Here is a 22538-nt window from a genome sequence, read left to right as displayed (position 1 = left end):
GGCATGAGCCATCGCACCCGGCCATGATTAAGATTTTTAAACTGTATGTCATAGATTTTAGTAGTCAAGTATACATGTGTTAAATACATCCTATTCATCATTATTTTTTGGTGTTTCTCTCTCATTATGTGCTAATGTGTGCCTTTGAGAGCCTCCTTTTTCTATGCTTTTGCACCTGACCAACTCCCAGCTGACATGTCTTTTTACTATGTTAACATCTTTAGTCTAATAATTGTCAAATTTTGCAGATGTATGTCATTTTTTCTTCTTTGCAGTGTCTTTTCATATTCCCCTGATGTGTTTCTAACTGCTTGACTCTGAGCAATCTCATTTCCCTTATTTTCAAGTGTTTACGGGACTGACCCGGAAATAACTGATAAATTATTGATGAACAAATTCTATTCAGATATTCACTTACTGTGTTGTTCATTTTTAAATTTAAAATACTTAAAGATGGTCTATATAGTTATGATTTTTTTCTTAGATATGAACAACATCCAAACAATAGAAATTAATGTTTCCTGTTTGATAAACTTGTTCACATTTAACATTTGGAGCCTTAAAATTTATTTTTGAAATACCAGAGTTATTTCTTTGGAGCTAGGGAAGTGAGAAGAGTTGAATTTAGTAGCCAAATGCCAAAACATTATGTGAAAATCAAATTAGAAATAGGAGGATTTTCTTGTCTTTCAACAGCTGGTAGAGCCTCACCCTGAAGAAGCCGTGGCAGATTTTTATGCCAAGTCTACAATTAAGGAGGAAGAAATAATAAATACTGCCCCAGCTCTCACACACACTAAACACACATTCATGTACATGTACATATACATCCCCCACACTTCCTCTGTCTTCTAAATAACTCAAATTTTCAAAAGGAAAAATGAATATGATAAGAGAGATCACATTGTCTTCAAAGATGCCAAGGAAAAACCTCATAACAACAAATTTAAGTATATAAATAAATTTATAAAAGAACATAATTTTAAATGCAATTAAATTAATGAGTGCTAGAGTCACACAGTTCAAAGATATAGTCCTGTAACTGATTTAAGAAAGGAATTGCCATGCATTTTTTTCTTATTTTTTTATTTCCCTCCACATGAACGCTCTGAAATCCATAGCATACATTATACCTGTTATATACAAGCCCCTCTAGCTTTATATTATTTTCTTATGTGTCCTCTAACGTCAATATTTTTCCTTCGTATTTATAGGCTTCCACCCTAGTGTGTCTAATATGTGGCCTTGGACATATGTGTACTACTGAAACATACATATGCCGTGGAAGTTTTTGTAATACAGACCTTCTGTCTTCCTTAATCAATATTGTGTCTTAACTCATGTGTGGCAGATCAAAAGTGGACAAAAATTCATGGACACTCCTCCCACGAAGAGGTAGATGCAAGTTCCTTACCTCAGTTCTGGGTGGGCTCTGTGAGATATTTGGCTAATAGAATATGGCAGAATTGACACTGTGCTTGTTTCAGAACCCAGGCCTTAAGAAACTGGCATTTTCTACTGCCTTAGATTGTCCTCTGTGGGAGTCCTGAAATACCATGTATGTAAGAAGTTTACCTACCCTGAAATGGCAATGCTGGGGAGGCCACAGGTAGGCATTCCAGTTGACAGCCCCAGTTGGGTCTAATCTTGTAGCCATCTCTGCCAAGGCACCAGGCATGTGAGTGAAGCTGTCTTGTGTGATGCAGACCAACCTTTCTACTATTAAATACCAGGTAGTGACCCCATTTAATACTATGTTGAATAAAGGCATCATCCAGGGGGTCTTGCCCAAATCTCTGACCCACAAAACTGTGAGATAATAAATGGTTGTTTTAAGTCACTAAGTTTTGGGGGTAGTTTGCTACTCAGCAACAGATAACCATGACAACATTCTATCTTATTTTGTGTTTTCTATTTTCAATCCTTTTCTCCTTTTCTGCCTTCCATTGGGTAGATTAACTCTTCTTATGCTAATCTTAAAGTTATATATTCTCTTGTATTCTACTGGCAATTATCATAATGTTATCCAGCATTTGTTACTAAGAACAAAATTCTCTTTAGCTAGTTTCAGTTAATTACAGAGTTCTAAATGTTTTATGGACTCACTAGGAGGACTGAGGAAACATTTGAGTTACATTTTTAGAAACAATTCAGGGAAATTCTTACTCATTGTTTCTTCAAATACTTATTCCCTTCTATTTATACAGTTTTCCTTCTGTGATTCCTATTATTCAAGTATGAATACTTTCTTAATCTCTCAAGTCTTCTCTTATATTTTCCATTTCTGTCATTCCATAATGCCATTTGGATAGTTATGTCCATCAATTCTTTAAACCTATGCATTCATTTTGAGCTGTATCCATTTTGATATAAATCCCACATATGGGATTCTTTCAACTCTCACATTTTTCAAAACCAATTGGTTATTTTTATAAATGTTTGTTTTCTGCTTCATATTTACCAATGTCTGCTCTTAGTTGTTTAAAGATACTAAGCTTATTTTACATCCTCGTTCTCTCTGATCCATTGTTTTTCTTGTGATATAAGCTCTTTGGTTTGTTGGCTTTCTCTTCTGTTGAACTCCTCAGATTCTTCTTATTTTCTCTGTATGCTTATATTTTCCTAGGGGTAGAAGCTTACAATAGCAAGTGTGGCAGGCAGACTGTAAGATGGCTGCCAGTGATTGACATCTGCCTCCAGTATTCTCACATTTGTGTAATCTCCTCTCCTTGAGTGTGGGCTAGACCTAGCAACTTGTTTCTAGTGAGAATATGGCATGGAATATTCTCAGAATTTGATTATTTAAAAACTAAGTTCTGTCCTTTATTGCTCTCTCACTTGCCCAATCTGATGGAAGTCATTTGTCAAGTGCTGAGCTTCCTTATGGAGAGGCCACATGGCAGTGGACTGAGGAAGGCCTCTGGTCAGTAGCCTGTGAGAAACTAAATTCTGCCAACAAACATGTGAGGGAGTTGGGAAGCATATCCTCGCCTAGCTGAGTCTTCTGGTAAGCCCACAGCTCTTGCTGACACCTTGATTACAACACTATGAGAGGCGTTAAGGTAGAGCACTCGGCAAAGCCAAACCCAAATTTATGATCCACAGAAACTGTGAGATAGTAAAATTTTATTGTTTTGAGACACTAGGTTTTGGGGGTAATTTTGTTACACAACAATAAATAACAGTTACAGCAGATGAAATATATCTCAAGAGAAGGTGAAACCCTACACCCTATTTCCTACATGCCTGAGGGGAGAGAGTCTCTGGGATACACATACATATACATATTAAAATACAGCCTCAGCTTCCTACCTTGCCATCCCTCTACTAAGTTACCATTCCCTTTAGGAGGCCATCCAGTATTAATGCCTAGAGGAATGCTTTTCCCTCATTCTTCTTCTTCAAGTATAATCATCTACTTATTGTGGTGTGAGAGGTAAAAGGGGAACAGAGAACACTCACGTCTGAACTTATTGTTAGGTCTTTTCTGTTTTCCACCTCACAATGGTAGTAGGGCAGGCACTGACCCACTCACAGAAATATGAGCAAGAGAAATTCTCTTTTGTTCTTACATTGGAATGATAGTTTGGCTGAGCAAAGAACTCTAAGATCTAAATAGTTTTTCTTTAGCACCTTGGAGACTTTGTTTTCTAGCAACCTACATCACAGCCAAGAATTCAGATGTGAGGTAGTTCTCCTTTCTTTTAAGCAATCTCTTTTTCCCTTTGGAATCACAAGGATATGTTTATCTTATCTTTTATTATTTATTCTATATTTTCTCTATTCTTTCCTTCGGAAACTCTAATATAAGAGAAATGTTATTTTGGGTCTATCCTCCATGTCTCTTAAACCATATAGTTGGTATTAGGTCAGAATTGTTACTTACGTGGCCACGTTGTAAAAGATAGGAGTTGGTACAATTTTTATGGAAATATCCATGCAATAACTAATCAAATTTAAAATAAGCTTACAAGTAGCTCAAAAAATCACCCAAAAGAGCTAATATGTAAGAACACATATACAGATATTGAAGGACTTTTGTCTGCAATAGAAAAACTCATGAATTTTCGCTAATGCAAGGATGGTTGAAAAAATTATGGCATCTACTATATACTCTATAGAATAGTATGCACCTATAGAATGAATTACATTTAAATATTTACTAAATTATTTTCTTTAATATCTGTGAATATATTCAGTGAAATGTTATTGCTTTTAATTATTTTTAGGGAAGAAAAAAATTGAAAGAACAAAGACTGTAGAGATGAATGTTCAAATCATAGGCTTTGAGCTTTTCTGATGGAAAGCTCTTTATCTGGTGCTTTTGTGTCCCATTCTTGGAGCGATAAGGTTTTGGGCTATTTTCACAGATCTACACAGCTGGGAGAAAAAAGTCCCTCCCAGATACTTATTAAAAGTCCTGTTTCTACACCCTCCCTCAACAAACACATTAAGTAGGTAATTCTTTCCCTGAGTTGACAATCCTTATTTCCCCAACAGCCAATTTCACAAATCACTGCAGAAATCTATGATATCTAGATTTCTGAGAAGTGCTGAGAAGATTAGAAATATTTAAATTTTATTAGACTGTCAAACAGCTCTTTTCACTGTCATTTTCCATATCAACTTGCTAAAAGAGTTAGGACTGTTATTTTTTAGTATCCTGGAAACAACCAAAATGAGTGATTGAGGCATAAGCCTCTAATCATTGAGGTTTATTGAATCAGCCTGAGAGCACACCTGGGAAAAATGCAAGCCTCAGATGCATCTGTGGCTGTTTTTTCCAAAGATGTTTTCAGGAGGTTTCATATTCATACACTTTCCTTAAAAAAGAAAAGGTAGCACTGAAACTTTGGCTAGTGCTCAGTAAATCTACATTTTATATAGAATAAGGTGAATATATGAAGAGAAAGCGAGTAGAGGAAGCACACATCTTAGAGAAGGGGTGAAGGAAGATAAATCTCATCTTGTCTTTGTTCTGTGCCTGGGAAGGTAAGCTTACCTGAAGAAGCTGGCTTCTTTTTAGCGCTTAGGGGAAGAAAACCTAATGACCGTTAGTAAGGGAGGGGATATAATGAAGCTTATCTGATCTCCCAGCCCCTCCCAGCCCTGAAATCAGCTTCCAAGATTTCTCTGGTGTTCTCTTGGCCAAGAGGGTATCCGTTCAGTCAGTTGAGAAGCTTAGAATTTTGTTTTTATTTCCCACTGGTAAGCCCTGTCAAACTGGGGCTTAACATGAGTCTTACAAAGAACAAATAAGACAATTTCAGAATGTCAATTTCTTGATAAGTGACTCAAAAAGCATAAGAATGGAGATTCAGGAACGCTGCAGACCATAAAAAAGCCTTTTTAAATTTGGAGAACCTTTTATAACAACTCAGTTATATTTAACACTCTAATTTCAGAGAACAGAATGAGAAAAAAATAGTCATATCTAGGATTGTGCTAATGTCAGATGGACACTAAATATTGGCAGGGGTAGGAAATAATAAAATGGCAATGTGAGTTCCCTTTAACTCTTTGGGTCAACCTAAGGGGAAAAAATGTATTTGAAGAGAAACATTCCACTTAGAGGAATAACCCTTGAGGAAGCAATCCCCTTACTTGAAAATGAGCCCAGGAAAGGCTTTGAAAAATGTTGATGAAAAGAGTCAAACTGTAAAATATTTAAAAAGTTTCTCTGTAGTCAAATGTGAGTGACCATGGTCCGAGGCATAGTCTCAAGAGGTCCTGAGAACATGTGCCCAAGGCTGTTGGATTATAGCTTGATTTTGTGTTCTAGAAAGATATTAGACATCAATCAATATATGTGAGGTATATGTTGGTTCAGTCCAGAAAAAGGGGACAACTTTAAGTGGGGGTGGGGAAGGGGGTTCATGTAGGTGGGGTGGGATTTACAGGTCATGGTGGATTGAAAGATTTTCTGATTGGCAGTTGGTCAAAAGAGTTAAGTTATTCTCTAAAAACCTGGAACTGGTAGAAAGGAATGTCTGGGTTAGGATAGGGGTTATGGAGACCAAGGTTCTTATTATGTAGATGAAGTCTCATAGGTGGACACTTTTAGAGACAATAGATGGCAAATATTTCCTATTCAGACCTTTAAAACATGCTAGACTCTCAGTTAATCTCTTCAGGATTGGGAGGGCCTGGAAGGGGAAAGATTTAGTTATGTTAATAGAGAGTCTTTACAGATGCAAGTTTTCCTCTACAAAAGATGGCTTTTCAGGGCCATTTCAAAATATGGCAAAATGGAATATGTTGGGGTAAAATATTTCGATTTTCTTCTTTATCCCTCATGTGATGTTATGCCAGAATCAGCTTGGAATGTAAACCACATTATATAGGGTTACATAAAACCCATCTGATGAGATTTTGTGGTTTGTAGGGCACGACTCCCCAGGCCCCTTAGATAGGAATTTGAGCAAGAGAGGAAAAAAAGTCAGAGTTTAGTCCTCAAAACCCTACTATTCTCCCTGGCATTCAAGTCCACAACAATATTTATTTCATCTGTCGGATACTTGGACTAAATGGAATTCACAAGATTGTTGAATTGTAGCCATATATCTAAACAAACAACTGGTACCTTGGCAGGAAGATATAAACATTATGGAATTTTACATCCATCTTATTTGGGAGTTCCATTGAGACAAGAAGGGGCATCTCCTGCACCTGAGTTGATAGGCTTTCACATTTTTCCATTCTCCCAATGAAATGCAGCTGTTAGGTACTGATGAAGCTGAATAAGTAAGACACAGTTCCTAATCACATGGAGTGCCCAGTGTAAAAAAAAAATAAAAATAAGAATAATTAGCTGGGCTGGGCTTGGGCACACTTGTGGAGAGCATTTTAGGTCCTTAGCTTGCCCATTTCACAACTGTCACTTCCTATAATCCTGTTCTTTCTGCTCTGCCCACATGAAAACCTGTACTTAGTTTGACCATCATCATCTTCTAGCGTGGAGTAGAGCAGCAGCACAGGACAGACTGAAAATATTGGATCAACTCCAGAAATTTCTCCAGCTTTCCCTAGAAAATAACATTTAATGTTTTCCTGTAGAGGACCAATCTTAACTTCTGAAACTGCAGCTTCTGAGGTGATAAATGGTGTCTCAGAAGTGTAGACCCGGAGCTGAATCCTAGCCTTTCACAGAGCAGTGATTGAATCTGGAACTTCTTCCTGCAACTGGTCTTCAATCCTAGAGGCTCTTGGAGTGATCAAAGCCACCAGAGCTCACATTTAGGAACCAGCTGATGATCATTTTTCACCCACTTTGATTACAGTGATGACCCTAAACAAAAGAAGCTTCCAGAAGGCAAGAGGGGGATCATGACTTTACTGTGGTAAATCAGGTTTTCTGGCCTGGTCACCATCTGCTTCTTGTTAAAATGTTTCTTGTGTCCAGCTTTAAAGGGAGCTTCATAAGGCAGAAAGCAAAGGCCTCTGAAGCCAAGACAAAGGAAACAAAAAGCTGAAGCAAATGTAGAGCAAAATTGTCTCTCCATGCTTGCCAGTCATCCTATTAAGTGTTGTTGCCACCTTTTATCTGTAAAGGCATCAACATTTTACAGCAATCTTGGTCTTTTCCCTTAGGCCCTTGCCTAGCTGCACAGCTTGAAGGATGTGATTCATCCAGAGTAGAAGAAGCAGCTAAAGCTCAGAGGTGTGTAGAGCAGTGCCCCTGGGCACATACCAAGGTCGTATAGGGCTGGAACTTGGTTCTCATCCTCAGTCAACATTGCCTACCAAGATGAAAGAATACTTTTGCCATGTGGCCAATGCCTGCTGTTTGGGCATAGCTTTACCTAAATCTTGCTCCTGAGGTGTGAGGAGATGAATCCTGTTCAATAAAGCCTCTGCCTTCCCCCTCAGTGGTGCCTTTCCTCCAACAGAAATACAACTTGTCTCTTAACTAGTCTCTGTACTTCTCATCTTTCCCCCAGCACATTGGTCTCACTTTATACAGCAGCAGCCAGAATAATTTTTGTAAAGCACAGATCTGCTACTGCTTTTACTTCCTGCATCTCCCCCAATGTTTAGCGTATGATTTACATGGCCCTTTATAATCTGGGTCCCACTGACCTCTCTCCCCTCACTCCATTTTTTTCCCCAAACCCCATGGTTGATATGGTTTGGCTCTGTATCTCCACCCAAATCTCATCTTGAATTGTAATTCCCATCATCCCCATGTGGCAAGGGAGAAATGGGTCGGGGGAGGTGACTGGATCATGGGGGCAGTCTCCCCCATGCTATTCTCATGATAGTGAGTGAGTTATCACAAGAGCTAATGGTTTTAAAGTGTGGCACTTCCCTGTTCTCACTCACACACTCTTCTGCTGCCTTGAGAAGAAGGTGCCTGCTTTCCCTTCTGCCATGACTGTAAGTTTCCTGAGGCCTCCCCAGCCATGTGGAGCTGTGAGCCACTTAAATGTCTTTCCTTTATAAATTACCCAGTCTCATGTATTTCTGTATAGCAGTGTGAGAACAGACTAATACAGTAAATTCGTGCCGGGAGTGGGGCACTGCTATAAAGATGCCCGAAAATGTGGAAGCGACTTTGGAACTTGGTAACAGGCAGAAGTTGGAACAGTTTGGGGGGCCTCAGAAGAAGACAGGAAGATGTGGAAATGTTTGGAACTTCCTAGAGACTTGTTGAATGGTTTTGACCAAAATACTGATAATGATGTGGACAATGATGTCCGGGCTAAGATGGTCTCAGATGGAGATAAGGAACTTCTTGGGAACTAGAGCAAAGGTCACTCTTGCTATGCTTTAGCAAAGAAACTGGCAGCATTTTGTGCCTGCCCTAGAGATCTGTGGAACTTTGAACTTAAGAGAGATATCTGAAATTGGAACATTCGTTAAAAAGGGAAGAAGAGTCTAAAAGTTTGGAAAATGTGCAGCCTAACAATGTGATAGAGATGAAAAAAAAAATTTCTGGGGAGAAATTCAAGCCTGCTGCAGAAATTTGCATAAGTAATGAGGAGTCAAATGTTACTCTCCAAACCGATGGGGAAAATATCTCCAGGGAATGTCAGAGATCTTGGTGGCAGCTGCTCTTATTATAGGCCCAGAGGCCAAAGTGGGAAAAATGCTTTTGTGGGCCAGGCCCAGGGTCCCCCTGCTCTATGCAGCCTCAAGACTTGGTGCCCTGTGTCCCAGCTACTCTAGCTCTAGCCATGGCTAAAAGGGGCCAAGGTACATCTCAATTGTTGCTTCAGAGGGTGCAAGCCCCAAGCCTTGGTGGCTTCCACATGGTGTTGGACCTGTGGGTGCACACAAAATCAAGAACTACGGTTTGGGAACCTCCACCTAGATTTCAGAGGATGTATGAAAATGCCTGGATTTCCAGGCAGAAGTTTGCTGCAAGGCCAAAGCCCTCATGGAGAGTCTCTGCTAGGAAAGTGCAAAGGGGAAATGTGAGGTGGGAACCCCTCACACAGAGTCCCCAGTGGGGCACTGCCTAGTGGAAGAGGGCCACCAGTCTCCAGCCCCCAGAATGGTAGATCCACCGATAGCTTGCACCGTGCACATAGAAAGGCCTCAGACACTTAACCCCAGCCAGGAAAGGAGCTGCCCAAGGCTGTGGGAGCCCACCCCTTGCATCAGCATGCCCTGGATGTGAGACATGGAGTTAAAGGAGATTATTTTGGAGCTTTAGGATTTAATGACTGCTTTGCTGGAATTCAACTTGCACGGGGCCTGCAGCCCCCTTTTTTTCTGGCTAATTTCTCCCATTTGGAATGGGTGTAATTATCCAAAGCCTGTATCCCTATTGTATCTTGGAAGTAATTAACTTGTTTTTTATTTTAACTGCTCATAGGCAGAAGGGACTTGCCTTGTTGCAGATGAGACTTTGGACTGTGGACTTTTGGGTTAATGCTGGAATGAGTTAAGACTTTGGGGGACTATTGGAAAGGCATGATTCTGTTTTGAAATGTGAGGATGTGAGATTGGAAGGCGCCAGGGGCACAATAATATGGTTTGTCTCTGTGTCCCTACCCAAATCTCATCTTGAATTATAATCCCCATAATCCCTATGTGTCAAGGAAGAGACCAGATGGGAGGTAATTGGATCATGCGGACAGTTTTCCCCATGCTGTTCTCATGACGGTGAGTGAGGTATCATGACAGCTGATGGTTTTAAAGTGTGGCGCTTGCTGGTTCTTGCTCACCCTCTCTCTTGCTGCCTTGTGAAGGTGCCTGCTACCCCTTCTACTATGATTGTAAGTTTCCTGAGGCCTCCCCAGACATGTGGAACTGTGGATCAATTAAACCTCTTCCCTTTAGACATTACCCAGTCTTGGGTATTTCTTTTAGCAGTGTGAGAACAGACTAATACAGTGGTCCATCCACAAGGGACCTCTGTGTTTCCAGCTGTCCCTGGATCTCACCTTCTGACCTTCACTGGGCCCTTCCCTCTACCTGGAACACTCTTCTCTCTCCCTGACCAGTTCCTTGGCCCCTTTCAGTTAAGGCCTTCCTAGGCCCTCCCTGGGCACCCAGGCTAGGTTGGCGCCTCTTACTTTGTCTTCCATCCCACTTGTTATATCTTCCATCCCTGCTCTCATCATCCTCTGTTTAAATTACTTGCTTAATCATAGAGTATCCTTGTTAGACTCTGAGGTCTGGGAGAGCAGTGTGTGGCCCCAATCCCTTGTTGCAGGCCCCAGTGCTTAGCATGCTACTGGGTGCATAGTAGGTGAACAGCAAACATATAAACAAACAAACAAAGAAGTGTGCTGTTGGAGAAGGAGCCAAACTCATAGGTTTCTTCTATCAGGGAGTACAGTAGATCTCCTGAAGCTGTGTGGAAAGTCTGGGTTGGTATTGGCATGACCGCTTTCTGCCAAATACCTGGAAGAACACTATAAGGAAAGCTGTTAATTAAGATATATTTTTAGCAGTGTCAGAATCAAGACCAAGAACTCCCTTCCCAACTTTGTAGCATTTCTCTCTCTTTTTTTGGTATAATAATGACTTATTTTTAGTTATCAAGTAAGATGAGTTGGTTTTCCAAATGCTGTGTTATGTCCATTAGAAAGCTCATCTTGGTGGTCAAAGGATGCTTTGGCCTCAGGCTAAAAACTGGCCCATCTCTGGAAGTCCTCCTCTCCTGAAGACCTATGGGACAGGAAGAGGCTCCTTAACAACCTTGGATGGGTCGGCAAGTGGAATCCCTTCCCCTTCCCCACCTGCTGGGTCTCCTATGGATCTGTTTGAACTTTACTAAATAATTATATGGGGCTTTTTCCTTGATGGCTCTTTTTGGAGTCCATGAATCAGTGAAGGGTTGATCCTTATGTTCCATTATTACCAAATTTCCGTTGAAGTTCTACTATGCTCAGGGCACTGGGGATGACCGAGACAGACAGGATCCCTTCTTGCCTGAGCTCACGTGCTGGTGGAGGGTGAGAGACATTATCCAAGTAAATAATTAAAAAGAATAGATGACTTCAAGGAGTGTTATGCAGAAAATAAAAAAGGTGATATGAGGAAAAAAACCCAAGAAGTTCTATTTACATATTACTAGGAAATCAGCAAGAATCCCTCTATTATAACTGAGATTATAATAGCTGATATCTTCTTATTTCTACCTTTCTTGATTTTCCACTGTGGGGTAAAAACCTGAAATTATTTTCTAGAATCTGATTTTCCTGAAGGCATGAATTATTAAGTGTGAGAAGAGAAAAACAATAGAATTAAATTGCTAAAATCAGGCCCCTATTCAGTCCCATTTTAAGAGAAGAATCTTGAATATTGGAAGCACACAATTGGACATCTAATGTAAAAGAAGATGTCTCATGTGGCATAGAGTTAATTGGGGTGTAACTGTCAATTGAATGACTTTACCAAAACTCCCTCAAAAGGAGTGATGCCTTATTCAGTTAGGTTTTTGCCATAAAGTAAAGACAGCGGCACTAAGCTGCTTTTCTCGTAGGAAGAAAAAAGAATAATGCAGGGTGAAGCATCCCTGGTCTAAACTTAGAGGCACCAGGGACTGGTGCAAAAAAAAAAAAAAAAAAAAAAAAAAGAGAGAGAGAGATAGATAAGAGATATATGCTCGTTCTCACAGAAATCTGTCATTTTCAACAGACCTAATGTGTTTTATGGATAGAAACTTAATCCTCATCAATTTCCACCTGAACCACATAAGAGAAAGAAAGTAAGAAGTCTCATTTCCAAGAGGATTCTCCTATTATGCTGACTAGCTGAACTGTGGGTGACTCCAAGTAGCTATAATCATAAATCAACTCAATTTGAATTATCATTAGTATTCACCCTTCAAAAACAAATATAACATAACCATTGTCTGCCGTAAGAAATTTTTAGGAAGAAGTGATTACCTTCTAAAATGATCAAACCATTCAATTCGATCACTTATGAAAGAAATATTTATTGTCTACTATGTGCCAAGCAATATAACTTCAGTAGAAACTATTCTTAAGGATTCCTAGAATATTGTATTCAGGATAGTGACAATCTGGATTAGTTATTATTACTAAACTTTTGCCTATGGTATGAGAAAACCTATGGGCCACTTTTCAGGACAATACATATATGTTGTATTGGGTTGAATGATGTACCCCACAAAAGAGATGGATATCCAAGTTCTAACCTCCAGTACCTGTGAATATAACTTTGTTTGGAAATAAAATCTTTGCAGATATAATTAACTTAAGGATATTGAATGAGGTTATCCAGAATTTGAGTTGGGCCATAAATCCAATAACAAATATCCACAAAAGAGACAGCAAAGGAGAAGTCATAGAGACACAGAGAAGAGCGTCATGAAAAGACGGAGGCAGAGATTGAAAGTGTGCTGCCACAAGCCAAGAAACACGAAGGATTGCTGAAAGCCACCAGAAGCTACAAGAGAGGCATGGATTTGATTCTTCTTTAAAGCTTCCAGAAGGAATCAACCCTGCCAGCACCTTGATTTCAGACTCCTGGCCTCCAGCACTGTGAAAGAATAAATTTTTGTGGTTTTTAATCTACCTAGTGTGGTAATTTGTTATAGCAGCCCCAGGAAACAAACACAACGCTCTTACATGCAGCATTTCGCATAATATTTCAAACTCTCTGCGTGGACTCCCTGAGGGTCCATGAAGCCTAAGTTAAACAGATCTGAATTAGAAATGTCCAGGCAACTCTATGGTCAACATAGTGAGGGGTCTGGGGGAAAACTTGTAATTTGTGGCAAACATCAACCAGGAATACTTAGCCTGCAGAGGAGATGAGAGACGTGATGACTTTCCTCAAATATTTGGAAAACTGTTAAATCTATGTGTCCTCATAGGTGGGTGGACATATAATTTGTCATCTAAAATAGGGCATTGCTGAGAGTTAGAGGGGGACAGTATTAACTTGTTGTAGGGACAACAAGCTTATATAAACAAAGACTGTCCCAGGAAAACTAGGACATATGATCACTCTACACACAGGAGAAAAACCAGTGTCAAAAGATGGGACAGAGAAAAAAGAGAGACATAATTTGGCTCAAAACAAGGAAGAACTCTGAAAGAAAATAATCCAACACCTCACCAGACCTGTTTTAGTAGAAAGTGGGGAATAATTTGGCAGAGAATTTTAGAGGTGCAGCATTTTACATTCAAGGGGACCTTGAATGTAAAGTCATTTCCTATTCTAACATTCTGTGTTCTATCCTTCTGCTCCAAATTCAAATTTAACCATTTTCAATACATACTTCTGGAATGAAAAAGTATTGACTTTGGAGTCCCTCAAGAACCAATTTTTAATTCTGGTTCTGTTAGTTTTCAGTTATATGATATTAGTAAATATATTTAGTTTCATTGAGTACAGTAATATCTATTTCAAAGGGTGATTGTGAGGTTTAAATAATAAAATATATGAAAAAATTCAGCACAATGTCTGACACATAATAGGCGAACAGTAAATTAAAATTCTTTAACCCTAGTAAGTCCTAAGCATATAACTATAGGTTTTGTTCTTTTTGAGTAAATTAATGCAAATGAGTTCTTTAGAGATTATTATTGCTTAGGATTTTTAGACCTTTGGAAGTAGAAAATGATGTTTTTCATATATGCTTGAGGGGAAAGGGTAAGAAGGAAGAAAGAGAAAGAAGAAAGGAAAGAATAAAGCATAATAACGAGCAAATGAATGAACGAGAGATGAAAGGAAGAAAGAAGGGAGAGAGGGAGGAGGGAGGGGAAATAGGGAGGGTAGGAAAGAAAAGAAACAAGAAAAAAGTTCATAGTGATCCTTTTGTTACATGGAGGACAACTGCGCCATGAAGATTTTAACTGGCGTCAAAGGCATGTAATCTGATTCAGGGTAAAGTGTATAACTAATGTCCTTCAGAAACCTTGTGGCAATTTCTGTAATGTTCTGAATAGATTAATATGTGAATGCCTCAGATACTGTGCAATAGTTTGTCCTCAGCTAAAATAAGACATAAATACTTGGGTACAATTTATTCTAGTTATCTGAAATATGTTTTTAGCAACTTAAATTTTCATCAACAAGTCCTCAGTGAGTCTACTGCTTTTAAGGGCTGTGATCAAGACAATAGTTATAGGGGGCATAGATAATAACATTTGTCCTAGTTTTCAGGGTTCTCATGAGGATCAGATGTGATAATAGAGTGAAAAAGCCTTAAAACCTTAATTGCTATAGAGTGGAAAATTCTATTAATAATAACGAGAGTCAATAATGACAACAATTCTGGTGAAAAAAGTCAGGTGTCCTTGGCAGTAGGGAAACGAAGTATACACTTCTGACCCATGGGCATGTGGAGAATCCAGCTCTGTTTTTGAAATATAGGGCACCTGGAGAACACATGGACTAACTGAACATAATTCCAAAGTGGTAAACCAAAAGTCTGCCAATTTAAAAGAGACAAAGACATTGGGGATTTCAAGTACATAAAGTATAAATCCCCAAAGGCAGACCATTTTCAAGAAGCAGCAGGTCAAGTATTGGTGACCTGTACCAGGCTCGCTAAAGGCTGCAAGATGATATCATGAAATGTGCAGATGACCACAAGTGCCCAGGGCACCATGGCACTTTCCCAACTTTGTTAACTGGGACTGACCTCCTTCGGTTTATCCTTCCCATGGACCATGCTCTTAAAGGCAGAATAATTTACTGGAAGGTTAAATTGTACATGTTCTGCTTCTACATTTCTTCCCCGTTCATTGCAGGCAGCCAGGCTTTGTAATTATGGCCTCAAGGATTTGATCAGAGCCAAACAGAAGCAGTGAAATGTTAACAGGTCTTTCTGCCTTTTATTTAAAACAAGATTTCTAGAAAAAAATTATGCGGTCTTGCTCTGTTGCCCAGGCTGGAGGACAGTGGCATGATTTTGGCTCACTGTAGCCTTGACTTCTCAGGTTCAATCTTCCCACCTCAGCCTCCTGAGTAGCTGGAACCACAAGCACATGCCTAGCTAATTTTGTTTATTTTTCATAGAGATGAGGTCTCACTATGTTGCCCAGGCTGGTCTCCAACTCCTGGGCTCAAGTCGTCTTCCCAACTCAACCTCCTAAAGTGCTGGGATTATAGGTATGAGCCACTACACCCAGCCTGACCTCTGACTTCTTTTAAAGTCATGACCCTGCTTGAGTATTTTACTCAATCTCATGTCCCTTGAAGTGTGATCCGTTAAAATATTGTCCTTACCCTTCCTTTTACTTCCTATCAGAATGTAGCTGTCTCAGTATGGCAGATTCCAGCATGGAGACAGCTGCTTAAGGAGAACTTTTTTTTTTTCTCAAAAATGTCTATTCTCCACTTCCACCTTTCCAATGATGTGAGAATGAATGAACATGAGGCTGAACTTGCTAAAATGCTTGAATCCCTATTTATATCGATTTTTATGTAGAAATTTCACTTTTTCAGGACTCAGCTCAGACATTCCCTTCCCAGTCTTCCTTTACTTCCTAATACTAAGTTAGGAGAGCCCTGTTTGTTGTTCTGTGGGACCTTGTGCCTACGCCTATCCTGACTCTTACCATCATATGCAATTGCCTGTTTATTTATCAACTTCTCTGTCTTCCCACAGAATTGTGTGCATCCTAGGGGCAGGGGCTGTGTCTTAACTCTAAAACCTCTAGGTAGTGTCTTATAAACAAATAAATATAACATTGTGACTGCTGATACTTCTGAGAGATTATCGACTCATGGATTCGAGTTGTGAGAAAAAGACTCTTCACCAAATGGATCTAGAAATGAATTCCTGTCACAAATAGCCTTTCAATTTGAGGGAATGGTACTTATCTTTTTGCCTCACTTGAAAACCAAAGACTTGAGAAAGAAATATATACCAAACTTAGTAAATGTTCAAATAAGAAAAAGATAAAATAGGAAGAGGAGAAGTATATACAATATTATTATCATAATTTTAAATTGACTTTCTTTAAACATAAACACAAAATTACAACTTAAAACTCCAAAGTAGTTAATAAAATTATTTGTAGCACTTCATCTGTCATGCCACCAAACAAATATAATTAATCTAAAAACTTTTAAAAATGACCCAAGTGAAAATATCATTTTTTCCCGGTGCGAAGTTCAGATTTTCAATGAAATTGAATATAGGAAAAACAAAGTCTGGGAATTAAAAGTTTTTAAAATCAGAATTTAATAATTTTCTAGAGCATAATTTTTCATTGCTTATTTTTATGGAATTTTTAGTTCTTATATATTATGGATTTTTCAAGGTCTTTGTATGGGCATTCACATGTTACATGGACACTTTTTTTTCCCTTTCAACACTAGTGAACTATGAAAGGAAACCTTATGCTCTTCAGCAACTGATTATAACACCACATTTGCTGCTATTGTTAAAATTGTTCATTTTCACAGCGTTATATTAAAAAACGTGATCCAGGATGAAACCTGGCTTACAAAGTCACAACTCACAAGTGAATTTTAAACAGTCTGGAAGAATCTATTCATTTGTTTGTACATGCAATTTTATGAATCAAATATAGACATGATAATTTTAGATACCTTTTACAGTTGCATCACCAATAAATGGTTTGTTTAAAAATATAGTTGTGATTTAAAAAGGACATGTGCTACCACAATATTTTAACACTCCTTTCCTTGTGAGCTAGAGGGGGACAAAAAAAAGCTGTTCTTTTTTTTCCCCCAGAAAAACAGACATCCTGCATTTCCACCTTTTTATTTGTGAACCTTAAACTATTGCCTAGGCCAATGGTTTTCAACATTTCTTATGGTAATCTAAACCATTTTTCAAATTACGGTTTTTTGCAGAACCAACACCCACAGAAAACATGAAAGAAGAGCAGCTCTGGTTGAGGCAGAGGATTTGAATCCCTGCAGGAATAACTGCCTCTGTGTCATTATCCCCATCCTCCTCCTGTGGCCTCTGAAGAGAGTATAAACCTGGAGCCCCGTTGCTCCAGGGTAGTCCCGGTTTACACCAGTTGTTCTGACGTAATTATAAATAGTTTCCCCTTTCACCTTTATTAACTGCATGGCCGTCATACCTCTGAGGCACTGCTACATAACCGAAGAGCTTACAGAACGCAGATGAAAACCCACTGGTCTAGAGCCAATGTAGAGGTCAGGTGACTCCTCTTCTCATGCATCAGGCAGTAGCTACACGTTCTGCCAGCAAAACTCATTCAACCAGGCTATCTTACATTCTAGACAAATTTGGCTACCCGGTAGCAAAATAGAGTTTGTGCAAAACAAAAATCCATTTCTTTCCCTACCAATGTACTCTTGTATTCAGTGTTTCTGCTAATCTTACCAACTCCCTAGTCATTGAAGCCAAAACTCAAATTAATTTTTCCTTCTCTTTCCTCTTTATGCCAAAAATGCATGTTGTTGTCAACTTCTATCAATTCTATCCCCAAATGTCTCTCCTATGTGCTTTTTAACCTCCATTGTCACTGTTGTTTCTCTAATGAAAGTCCATGTTTGTTCACACATTGGTGGGCCAAGGCAAAACCCCGTGCCACCTTTCAATTCCTATTTCAAACATCTCTTCATCAATTCCCTCCTTGATACTTACCATCATCCCCACAAACTTTTCCCAATTTATCTGTGCTTGAAGGAAACTCTTTGGCCTGTGAACAGCATTAGCACTTTATCCATGCCTCACTTATGACTCACGCAATTTTCCACTTTCGGTTGTAAGTATTGTCATGTTTTGTTTCCTCTGTTAGCTTATCGGTCCTTTAAAGGTGAGATGTGTAATTAACTTTGGTGTTTTTAATAGCATCTTGTACTTTGGAGCTCTAGGAGTGTTTATCAAATGAATAAATAATTGGATAGATGAACAAATACATACAAAGATATAAGTTGCTTCAATGTATTCATTACTTCAGCCTTAACAATCTGACAAGAATTATGACACACTATTCACTATCTTCCCCATTCCAAACAAAAAAGTCTACTTCATTTGTCCTGAGCGTAAACTGCCTTCTATGATCGTTTTCACAAGTGACCTACATACAGTGCTTTCCCCTTACCTTCTGCTACTTTTATATGCCCTCCAGGTTTTCAAAATTCAACTCACAATTAAGTTTCTCTTCACCACTAGCCTAATTAGATAGCCCCGCTGAGCAACATTGTTATGCTATATCATTTAACCATCCCTATTGCCTGGTACTACCAACTTTAAAACGTGCAAATAACACAAAGAACAGGTAAAACTAATTCATAGTTGTCTATACCATGCATTTCTCCCAGACTTTTCCAATATTTCATAATTTTTTAGTATTTACTATGTACCAGGTACTGTTCTGAGAGTGTTACCTGTAATGACCCATTAATTTTCACAGAGTCACCATAAAACAGGTCATATCCTTCTGTTAAAAATTAGGAAACTGAGGCCAAGTAAGAATAGACAAATAAGAAGAACTGGACTTCAAATACAGGTAGTATTAATGTGGTATCAGCTTCTATGCTTATAGCTAGTACATATTTCTGTTTCTCAGAGCTTTGAACATGCTGTGCCTGATGTCCTGAGGTTAATCATACAGTGTAATAAAAAGCCTTTAAAGTTAGGCAAACTCGAGGTCAAAGTCTACATCTGCTACCCCATAGCTCTGAGACCTGAAACAAGATACAAGATACGTAACCAAGCTCTGTTTTCTTATTTCTAATTTTGGGAAAATTCTAGTGCTGTGAAAATTGAATGAGTTATATTTCATCAAAAAAAAAATCCAGCAAAAAACAATATATGGTGCGTGTTTAATAATACACAAAGTAAATCAGAGTGGAGATTTGTAATATGAGGACGATTCAAACAGAACCAAGGTGCCAATCATATTGTCTTCATGCTTGCCATATGGTCCTCAGCCTTCAACAAAAGGAGGCCAGTTGGTATGATGGTTGAGAGCCTGGGCTCTGGAGTCAGTCTTTCTGGTCTTAAACCTCATATCTACAAAATACAAGTTGTATGAAGTTGAGCACATTTCCTAACCTCATTAAGCTTCAATTTCTTCAACTGTTAAATAAGAAAAATAATAGCACCTATGTCATAAGGCCATTGTGAAGATTTTATGAGTTAAAATCATAAACAAGGTATAGTGCATAGCAAGCTGTGATTACTAGCTAACTAGAACTTTTTAACACCTCAGCTCAAATTGCCAGAATAGCTCCTGAGTGGTCCTCAAGCATTTAGGAACTTTCTTTTACAATCCTGTACATCATTGCAAGGATCATTGTGGTAAGCTAAGCAGAAGACTTTTTATTTATTTATTTATTTATTTACTTGCTTATTTATTTATTTTAGAGGCAAGATCTTGCTCTATCACTCCGGCTGCACTGCAGTGGCATGATTACAGCTCACTGTAGCCTCTAACTCTTGGGCTCAATCAATCCTCCCACCTCAGCCCCCTAAGTATCTGGGACTACAGGTGTGTGCCACCATGCCCAGCTAATTTAAAAAAAAAATTCTGTAGAGACCAGTTCTTTCTATGTTGTCCAGACTAGTCTTAAACTCCTGGGCTCAAGTGATCTTCCCACCTTGGCCTTCCAAAGTACTGGGATGACAGGTGTGAGCCACTGCACACGGCTGGTAAGCAGAATTCCAGATGACTTCCATGTCCTTAGTGTCCTATTGTTACTCCTGTGATTATGTTACCTTACATGGCAAAAGGGATTTGGGAGATGTAATTAGGAAAGATTATCTAAGTGGGATAATCTAATTACATGAACCCTTTAAAGCACAGAGTTTCCTCAGGATGGTGGTAGAACAGGAAGTCAAAAAGACTGGAAGCACAAGAAGGACTCATTGCTCTACTGCTGCCCTGGAAGTTGGAGGGAGCTATAAGAGAGGGAATAGGGGTGGCTTCCAGGAGCAGAAGGTAAACCCCAGATGACAGCCAGGAAGGAAACAAGACCTTAGTCCTACAGCTGCAAGATATTGAAGTCAGCCAACATCCTAAATGAACTTGGAAGCAGATTCTTTTTCCAAGCCCTCCAGACAAGAGCCCAACCCAACTGACAGATAAAGGTCAAGATGACTTTGACTTTTTCCTTGTATGACCCTGAGCAGAGAATCCAGTCACCCTGTGCTGAATTCTGTCTTACAAAACTGTGAGATAATAAATGGGTATTGTTTTAAGCTACTAAGTTATTTCTGTTACTGTGCAGAAATAGAAAACTAATAAAATCATTTGTCTAAATGATTGTTCATCATGTCAATGGATTCTAATTATTTTAACCTGCTGTACAAGACCTTCTGAGGTCTTACTCCAATCTAATCTTTCTGACTGTATCTCACATTCATTAGTTTCTTCCAGGTAAAAGTGACTCTCGTCAAGAGACAATTAACTGATTTTACACTGTGTCTTTCATTTTCCAACCTCCTGCTCTTATTAATTGTTCTCAGTCACCAAGGCATACCTCCTCTCTACTTCTCAATTCCTTTGTGCCTTCCATTTAGCATCTCTCCATGTGTCTTAAATCCCCATGCAGAGGGAATGGCAGACTCCATGCTTTAACATTTTCCATTTCTGGTCCTTTTACAATGGGTTTCCTGATTGCTGATAGTGAGAAGGTTTGATAATGAAGATACTGATGAGCATAATGATAAGAATGATCTTATAGAAATGACAACAACAATAACAGCAACAGCACAACACAGCATTTTATTAAATATCTAGAATGTCCCAAGCTCTGTGTTAAATACTTTACATGCTTTCTTTTACTCCCTTTCATCAATCCTATTAGACAGCTTTAAATAACACCAGTTTGTAGATTCAGAAAGATGGTTTAAATGACTTGCCTCAAATTATATAGGTAGCAAAGAATACACATTCATCTATTTGACTCAAAAACTCCTACCTTTGCTGGATTTTAGTCTCATGTTGTTTCAAATGCTAGGAAATATTGGGGAATTTGGGATTCTGAACTCATATAGTGCCTTGGACAATTACACTGTTTTCAGTTAAAAATTTAATCAACACTTATTTGCAATCTACTTGTGCCAGGCACTGTGTAAGGCACCAGAAACATAAAGAAGAATGAATAAGCTGACGTATCTTTAGGAGTTCACCATCAAGGTAGGATTTCTTGAGAAAAGGAATCCCTTAAAGGGAAGAGTAAGACTGTGAAAGAGAAGAGGTGTTCCATTCAGAGGAGACAGAGTATGAAATGCTGTAGAAGGCTTGAAACAGCCTGATGAGCTTGGGAAACCTCTAGCTGTGTTCCTTTCACATTTAAAGGTTTTCTAAATATTGGTACAACTAATAAATAATATTTGAGATATGATCTGATTTCTCTAATCTGATAAGGGAAAGAAAACCTGTGACATCTGAAATATTTTCAATAAGATAGGAACACTTTATTCTCCAAGTATTGGAAAGAGTAAATGTTTAAACTCAATGTTTATGTTATCATTTTCTGCAGAACCCATAAAGTTACTGGAGAAGGGTGTGTCTCTCATATCTGAGTACTTCACAGAAATATGCATATTTAAGACTCAAGGTAAGCAGATGTGCCAATAAGGTTTTAAGATAAATCACCTGAAAGACCTTTCTTAAGAGTATCTTTGATTCAAGATAATAAAAAATTATAAAGACCAAGAATTTCAAATTCACCCTTCTAAATCCAAATGGAAAACAAATTCTCTCTCTCATACAGTTGCTGTAATATCGTAAGAACATAAACCTTTAGGTGAGTGAACATGTGTTTATAATTATTATTGTATAACACATAGGTAAACAAAATTATTCAATTAGCTAATGAATCCTTCTAATTCTAAAATATAGCCTAAGCTACAATTTCCACTTTACCACTGGGACCTGATCAAATGTAGTAGTTAAGAACATGAGCTTTGGTTTCAGGTAGATCAGGGTTTGAATTTTAAATCAACCAATTAATAGCTTTCAATGGGCAAATAGATTAATCTCTCAAAGCTTTACTTTCCTCACTTGTAAAATGGGCTTAAAATATTGCCTTATAGGATAACTAGAAAGATTAGAAAATATAATGTATATGTAAAGCTCTTACCTCAGTGTCAGGAAGTGACAATGCAATGAGTGCTATCTATTATTCTTATTATTATTACTAAT

General features: G+C 38.5%; 1 long non-coding RNA gene across 1 annotated transcript; it reads left to right on the top strand.

The window, feature by feature from the left end:
- Positions 1 to 1241: 1241 nt before the first annotated feature.
- On the top strand, positions 1242 to 21945 carry LOC105369886 (uncharacterized). The gene is made up of 3 exons (XR_945167.3): positions 1242 to 1395; positions 1488 to 1609; positions 21874 to 21945. It is a non-coding gene; the product is annotated as an uncharacterized LOC105369886 (long non-coding RNA).
- Positions 21946 to 22538: the final 593 nt, after the last annotated feature.

The sequence above is a fragment of the Homo sapiens genome, chromosome 12, assembly GCF_000001405.40.
Source record: "Homo sapiens chromosome 12, GRCh38.p14 Primary Assembly".
NCBI classification, from domain to species: Eukaryota; Metazoa; Chordata; class Mammalia; order Primates; family Hominidae; genus Homo; species Homo sapiens.
The sequence above is the reverse complement of the archived record's forward strand: the minus strand, read 5'-3'. Positions and strand labels throughout refer to the sequence as shown.